Here is a 7,558-nt window from a genome sequence, read left to right as displayed (position 1 = left end):
AGAGGCCGCTTTAGTCATCTGCACCTGCACCAGGCCATTCCTGAAGGGGAGTGGGATCTTGCCAACTCTTCTCACCCCAAAGTGGTTTTCAGTTTCAAAAGCCATTGATTTTTGTTTGAAATCTGATGGGAGTGATTCTAATGCAAAACATGACCATTTTTAAATATTAAGCGGCCGGGAGGTACTAGTGGAGATTAGCATGGTACTAGGAGCCTTTCACTCACTCATTCACGCACGCGTTCAACAACTATTTATGGAGCACCGAGTGCTGGTTATTCAGCAGAGAATAAAACAGATGCTGTGTCTGCCCCCTTGAAGTTTTCAGAACTTGAGATGGTGAAGGTCTGTTGGCAAAGAACACTTGGAATCTGCTCTCGATGACACTGTTGCTGTTAAAAGGTTTGGACTGCACATCATCCACGCAGAGAGATGATCAGAGATGCAGAATCTCAGGTTCCCACTTCCCTAGACCTAGTGAATCAGAATTTGTTTTTTAACAAGATACTCAGATGATTCCTGTGAATGTTCACCCTTGGCTACCCACTACAATCACCTGGGGAACTAACATTCTGAGGCGCAGAGTGCACTATGAGCCAATGTAATCAGAACCCCTGGGTGTCCAGATTCAGGCATCTGTAGAAAACCACTGGCTCTAGATGCCCCAAGCCAGAGTTTCTGGGGGTGGCGTCTGGGAATCCACTTGTAATAAGCCACTGAGACCAAGGCTGGTGGGTAATTGCTCAGAACCCCCTTGAGAGAGGAAGGAGATTTGGAAGACTTTTGGTGTGGTGGGAGGAAAAGGGGGAATGAAGCAGAAAGGATAATTCGTGGGGGGGAAGGGATCCTGGATAAGAGAGCTTTTTCTTTTTAGTCCTTTAATATTGACATCATTTCAGACTTAAAGGAAAATTGCAAGAAAAGTACAAAGAGCCCCCTTATACTTTTCACCAGACTTTGCAACTTTGTAAGTGGTAACATTTTTATCACAGCTGCTTTCTCCAGGACACTCCCATCCCCTCTCTCATTCTCTCTCCCCCTAAATATATTAATTATATGTAATAATACACATGCACACACACACATGCATGTATATTTTCCCTCTCTCCCAAACCTTTGAGAGTAATAGCAAACATATACCTTTACTTTAGTAGGTGTTTTCTAAAAACAAAGACATTCTCTTAACATAATCACAGTCGTACAATGATCATCATCAGGCAATTAACACTGATGCAATACTACTATTTAATCCACGGACCTCATTCAGATTTTTTCACTTATCTCAATACTGTCCTTTTATAATAACAGAAACTCCCAATCATGTGTTGCCTTTGGTTCTCATGTCTCCTTGATCTTCTTTCATCTGGAACAGTTTCTCTGACTTTCCTTGTGTTTTGTGACACTGATATTTTTGAAGTGTATAAGCCAGCTATTTCATAAAGTATTCCTCAATTTGGATATTTTTGAAGTGTATAAGCCAGCTATTTCATACAGTATTCCTCAGTTTGGGTTTGTCTGATGTCTCCTCATGAATGGACTCAGTTTCTGCACTTCTGGAAGGAACACCACGGTGCAGAGTGTGGCCTTCCTAGTCTGTCCTATCAAGCCGCCCTTGATGTTGGTCTGTCCTGTGACTGAGAGGTTAGGTTTGTGCACTGTAAAGTTCCTTCTTACCCTGGTCAATCAATTATATTATGAGAAGATAGTTTGGGGCCATGTAAATATCCTGTTACTCCTCAAACTTTTACCCACTGGTTTTAGTATTTGCTCATGATTCTTGACAGAATTATTTATTATTATGATGGGTCAAATGGTGATTTTCTAATGTCATCGTACCTTTAACTGTACTGTTGGCTTTTTACTGTAAGGAAGAGCTTTCACTTTTCCTCTCTCTCTCCCTTCCTCCCCTTCTCCCCAACTTCCTTCTTCTCTCCCTCCCTCCCTTTCTTTATTTCCATAAATTCATGAAGCGTTAGTTTGTTCAATGCGTTATACTCGCTTGCTATCTATATTAATGTTCAAGGTATCCCATATTTGGGCAGTAGGAGCCCCATCAGCCTGGCTGTTGGTTCTTTGGACATGTGTCCATCAGTCTTTGAGCACTTCCTTACTTTCTGGGGCAATAAGATATTCCAGGCTCAGATTTTTCTGAGGTCCACTGAAATACTCTGGGGGTGGCACCTCCTAGAAGGGTTTTTGCAGTTTAACACTTACCTGACTGGACCAGGAGAATTTTAGTGAATGACATTGGTAGGATGATGCCTACTGTATTTTTAAGAGCATCAAAAAATGCCACGTTTGACTTTCAACAATAGATGTTTTCCTGAAACACTGTAAAAAGTGGAATTTGGTGGGGGTGGAGGGGGGTATTAAATTTTGTTTAAATTTTGTTTAAAGAACACAGTACCTTGTCTATACCTAACTCCACAGCATTTCTTTGTTTGTTTTTTGTTTTTTGTTTTATTTTTTTGTTTTCTTTTTGAGACAGAGTCTTACTCTGTCACCCAGGCTGGAGTGCAGTGGCGTGATCTCGTCTCACTGCAAACTCTACCTCCCCAGTTCAAGTGATTCTTGTGCCTCAGCCTCCCAAGTAGCTGGGATTACAGGCACCCACCACCATACCTGGATGATTTTTGTATTTTTAGTAGGGGTGAGATTTCACCATGTTGGCCAGGCTGGTCTCAAACTCCTGACCTCAGGTGATCTGCCCACCTTGGCCTCCCAAAATGCTGGGATTACAGGCGTGAGCCACCGCATCCGGACTCCACATTTTTAAAGCAAGTTTAATTTACGCACTTGTTCCATAAATTTCCATAAGTTTTTGACTTAGTTATCATAGAAACAGCAACTTTTATTTTCATTTCCATTTTTGAAATGAATCTTCACCAGTAATACTGTCTCTTTTAAAAAATAACAATCTTATTGCCAAGGACTCTAACAGTCAGCTGAATATTCATACCTGAGAGAGTGGTCTCTCCTATCATTGCAATGTATTTTCTTGATTCTAGAAATTTCCCTAGAGTAAAGGTTCTCATCTGAGGGCCATTTTGCCAGCAGGGAACATTTGGCAATACCTGGGGACACTTTTGGTTGTCACAACAGGGTGGGGGAGGAATTGCTATTGGCATCTGGTGAGCAGAGGCCAGGGATGCTGGTAAATACCCTCCAATGCACAGGACAGCCGCCCACAACTAAGAATTATCCTGCCCCAAATGCCAACAACGTACAGGTTGAGAAACCCTGCTTCAGGGAAAAGCTCTCTGTGGCTTCCCAAGGTATGCTTTGCAGAACGCTGATTCCCAAAAGTGCCCATTCAAAAAGGGCCTGAGGTCATTAGGAAAATGCTGCATCTTGTGGCTCAGTCTTGGAGATTCACAACACGCCCAAACATTTAAGGCCTGAGAAGACCTGCAGTCAAAACATGAAAAATACCAAGAAACTGTGTTATCTGAACTAAGTGTATTCCAAATGAACTTGCCTCTGGAATCCTGTCTTGGTGGAGTATTTTGTGAAATGCAAAACTATTCTCTGCTCTAGAAGGATGCACAGGTCTGCTTTCTATTGGCTTTAATAAATCTGACTTGTGTCCTCACAGAAGCAGCAAGAAAAGATTAGGGGGGCCCATTCCCGAATTCCTTATGAAAGATTCCCAGTGCTTCTGGTTGTCACTGACTCAATAGCTTTATATCTGCAGGAAAAGATTAGGGGGTCCCATTCCTGAATTCTTTGTGAAAGATTCCCAGTACTTCTGGTTGTCACTGACTCAATGGCTTTATATCTATTTCATGCAAACTGTCTAGGGACAGGTGTGGCACCAATGAGATGATTTTAACAGAAATGGTGTTCTTGTCTTCCATTGCCCTCCAGTAAATAAATATCAATAAATAGGGGTGTAATTAGAGCATTATTTCAAAAGTTGAGGAAGTCTATTATAAGGTAAAGTCCACAAAGGCATGTATTTCTCTAGATGTGTAATTGTTTTCAAATTTGCATTGAAACTCTTGAATATGTCTAATCAGTTTACAAATAGAGGCAAAGAAATGTGATTAATTTTGTCCTCCAAATGATAGCCAATCTCTGTTCTAGACCTTATCCCATACACAAATGACTTGGTCAAGTTTACTTTTAGTTTTTCATGTCACGGCAGAGGCCACGAGCTTCCTGAGTAACAGAATCTTAATTTTATTTGAGATAGAAAGGCATCCAATAAAAAGAGAACATTCAAGTTTTACTTACGGTTAGGGGCATATATGTGACTATGGAAATGCACAGGACCTCAGGAAGATGATACAAAAAAGCTGATATCCCCGGAAGGTATACTCCTTTGTTTTCCCCTCCCTCTACTTCTGGCCTGGAATCCACATGTAGTAGCTGAGGCTCCAGCAGCCATCTTGGGCCAGAGGGTTACTCTAAAGAAGGAAGACACTCACTTTGAGTTTAACAAAGCATAAAGACATGAGCCTGCATATCTGATGACACCATGGAGCCACCATACTATCACTAAACTATCTGTCTCTGGATTTCTCTTATTTATGTGTGAGCAAAACTTTCGAACTTATTAAAACTGTTATTTTGAATATATATGTCTTTTCAATTTTAAATAAATATGATTAATGGTTTTCCAACCATTAATTGTTGCATGTAATACATATATTAATTGTTGTTGCATGTAATACATATATGTGTGCATGCACCTACACAGACACCCCTTGAACTTGAGAATCTGTAGGGAGCTACGTTCTCCTTTAGAACAGCACGTGCTTTCCTCTGAAGATAATTTACTTTCAAAGAATACCTTGCCAAGAGCGGTCTTTTGCCCCCAGCAGAGGAAATGAGTTCTCTTGAAAACAGTACATGCCTTATTCTGCTCACTTCATATACGTTCCAAAATAAACGAGTATTCTAATGATTTAGTGCATGCCAAATGATTTGTACCATATGCCCATGTCAGGAATAAAGGGGTTCTGTGCATTTTCATATCTGAGTGTTGAATTGGACTCCTGAACTTTCTGGCCGGCTTGCACCATCAGGTGACCATCTGACTGGGACAGGGGGTGTCTAGGGCTAAGCTAGCGGTGCAGCTTCATCACAGCAGAAGGCAGGAAAGAATGTCATGAGCATGTGCACCCTTCTCTAGGAGATTTAAGTTAAGAGGGCTCTGAAGTGCTATAATTAGAGGGTTATGGAGAAGGAAGGCAACTTGTCTGCTAAGCGAGATCTCTTTTAGGATGCTCTTCTATTATTTCAGGGTTATGATGTGAATTAGCCAGCTTTTAATAGCTTCCTTCCTTCCTCCCCTTTTTCCTCCCTCCTTCCTTCCCTCTTTCTCTTTTTTCTCATACGTAGTAACAACAGTCGACACATAGCTTGTGCATTTATTAGATGATCATACATGCTCTTTATCCTCTGCTCATTTTGTCTGTGGGTATCATTATTAATATCCTCAGTGTGTAGTGGAACAAACAGACTTTAAAATGGTATGGAAAATGACATCTACAGAGACTCTATTTCCAAATAAGGTCACATTCTGTGGTCCTGGGTGGACAGAAATTTTTTTGGGAGAGGAACACTATTTAACTCACTACGGTGCCCAAGCCTTTAACTACTGGGGTACACTGTCATGTAAAGCTATCCTCATGCAATGTTTTGATTGTGTGTGCATATGTGTGTGTGTGTGTGTGTGTGTGTGTGTGTGTGTGTGTGTGTGTGTATGTATCTTCCCCTGTGGAGAAATTGTATGTCGAATGCCTAATGTGTCTCCAAACACAAGTTCTATCTTAAGAGACCAAGATGTATCCTCTTCAACAGGCATGAGGACAAGCCCAGGCCATCTGGCTTTTCCTGAGTGTCACTGCCCCATCTATCAGGCTTGCTTGTGGCCAGAAGGCTGTTTTCATACATTTTTATGGCTGCCGGAGACTCCATTAAAGGCACGTTCAATCAGCGAGCCCGACAGTGACAGAGCCCAGTTGCTCACCAATTCTCTCTCTTGAAATTTTTAGAGATCATAAAAGACTCGTAGGAAATCCTCTGGCCTCGATATTTGGGTTGCAAAGTGTCTCCTTTAGAAGGTAATGTGCTATTGAAGACCAGTGAGTCATTTGCTTTTTGCATTTCCCGGGGCCTGGATGTTAAGCCACTCTTCCCACCTGGGCCCTGGGCCTCATGCTGCAAACTCCAGGCTTGGGAATCAGGGCGCCTCATTGGAAGGGGCAGAAATAGTGCTGCTTCATCGTTTTCTTCCCCTTCTTGCTTTCCCAGGGACCAGAAATGTATCAGTAAGGTCTTGACCTTGGCCATGGTTTGGCATCACAGCAAACTTGAAGTTCTCCTCTGTGGAAACAGCCTGAGCTGGGCCATTTGCAATTGTGTGGCCTCTAGCACGTGTCCAACTGGAGCAGCATGTGGTGGACACCGGTGTTTGTCAGCCCCACATCCATGTCAGGGAAGAGCACTTTGACTTTGCTTTGGGTCTCTCCGGCTCTGCTTGGTGTCTGTGTTGCTGGTTCCCCATCCTCTGCCAGCCTCCTACCTCTGGAGGGGGCCTGATAACCACACCTGTACACATCAGACTCTGTTCCCAGACTTCTGTTGGAACCATTCACAAGCTCACTTTCCAAGGGGATTGTGCTGGGGTGGGTCTCCTGCCCTCAGACTGTGTCTCCCACTTCCTTCCTCTTCCTCTGTCTTGTTGGTATCCCTGGGGCTAACCCCTGCAGCCTGCATTTCCTGGGCATTCTTGCCATCTGGCTTCCAGCTGGGTTGGGCCAAGAAAGGCACTGGGGGAGGCTGAGGGTGAAAGTAGAGAGAAGCGGGGCTATTCCTCCCTCTCCCTGCTGGCCTTGGGAGGCATCTCCGGCAGCAGCTGCAGTTCCTCTGCGGCTCCAGTGCCCCACCAGGCTGCCCTACTCTGGCTCCAGCTTCTCTCAGGTATCCCCAAACCCCTGGGTTCCAGTTACACCATCCTTCCCTCTTTGTCTCTCTGATATAAAGGAGGCAGTGCCTTCCTCCTATCACTAATCCCTGGGTTATTCAACATGGCCATGCTGTCTTCTCAGCAGCTCCATCATCTCTGTAACCAATTCCCTGCATTCAATTTCCCCCAAGGTAAACATCCAAAGTGGCTTCTGCCACAGTCCACCACATGGAGAAAATGAAGCTAACAGGGAGGAAAGCAGCCTCTAGAGAGAGGGAAAAAGAGGAAGAGAGACGGAGTCCTGATGATGTTTTAGCTCCTGGATACAGCTATGCCTGAAGCCCTCACGCTTTCATCTATGTTAGTCAATAAATCCTGCCCGTCTCCCTGCTTTTTTCTTCTTGAGCCAGTTTGGGTTACGTTCATGTCACTGCAGTTCAGAGTCCTTTCATAGAAATATCAAATGTAGTGAGATGCACTATAAGCATTGCTTTTTGTTTTAGGTTTTTTGTTTGTTTGTTTTGCAGCAGAGAGACTAAAATGTTCTTCCTCAGAGGTAGCAAGTCTCCTTAGAGCAGATGTGTTTTGGAGGAAAATAATCAATGATTCTTTGGTTTGCCAAATGCAAGGCAAATACTAACCCAG

General features: G+C 43.3%; 1 long non-coding RNA gene across 1 annotated transcript, besides 2 other annotated features; it reads right to left on the bottom strand.

Moving 5' to 3' along the window:
• Positions 1-2,827: 2,827 nt before the first annotated feature.
• LOC124909393 (uncharacterized) lies at positions 2,828-4,526 on the bottom strand. Its single transcript, XR_007095959.1, has 2 exons — positions 4,234-4,526; positions 2,828-3,405 (listed from the first exon to the last, which is right to left on the bottom strand). It is a non-coding gene; the product is annotated as an uncharacterized LOC124909393 (long non-coding RNA).
• Positions 6,252-6,787: an enhancer, noted in NCBI's record as "H3K27ac-H3K4me1 hESC enhancer chr3:72252907-72253442 (GRCh37/hg19 assembly coordinates)". NCBI's record gives its function as "activates a minimal SCP1, AML or CMV promoter by ChIP-STARR-seq in primed H9 embryonic stem cells {active_cell/tissue: H9 hESC(primed)}" and the evidence as "EXISTENCE:reporter gene assay evidence [ECO:0000049][PMID:30033119]".
• Positions 6,788-7,324: an enhancer, noted in NCBI's record as "H3K27ac-H3K4me1 hESC enhancer chr3:72252370-72252906 (GRCh37/hg19 assembly coordinates)". NCBI's record gives its function as "activates a minimal SCP1, AML or CMV promoter by ChIP-STARR-seq in primed H9 embryonic stem cells {active_cell/tissue: H9 hESC(primed)}" and the evidence as "EXISTENCE:reporter gene assay evidence [ECO:0000049][PMID:30033119]".

Source organism: Homo sapiens, chromosome 3 (assembly GCF_000001405.40).
Source record: "Homo sapiens chromosome 3, GRCh38.p14 Primary Assembly".
In the NCBI taxonomy this organism is placed as follows: Eukaryota; Metazoa; Chordata; class Mammalia; order Primates; family Hominidae; genus Homo; species Homo sapiens.
The sequence above is the reverse complement of the archived record's forward strand: the minus strand, read 5'-3'. Positions and strand labels throughout refer to the sequence as shown.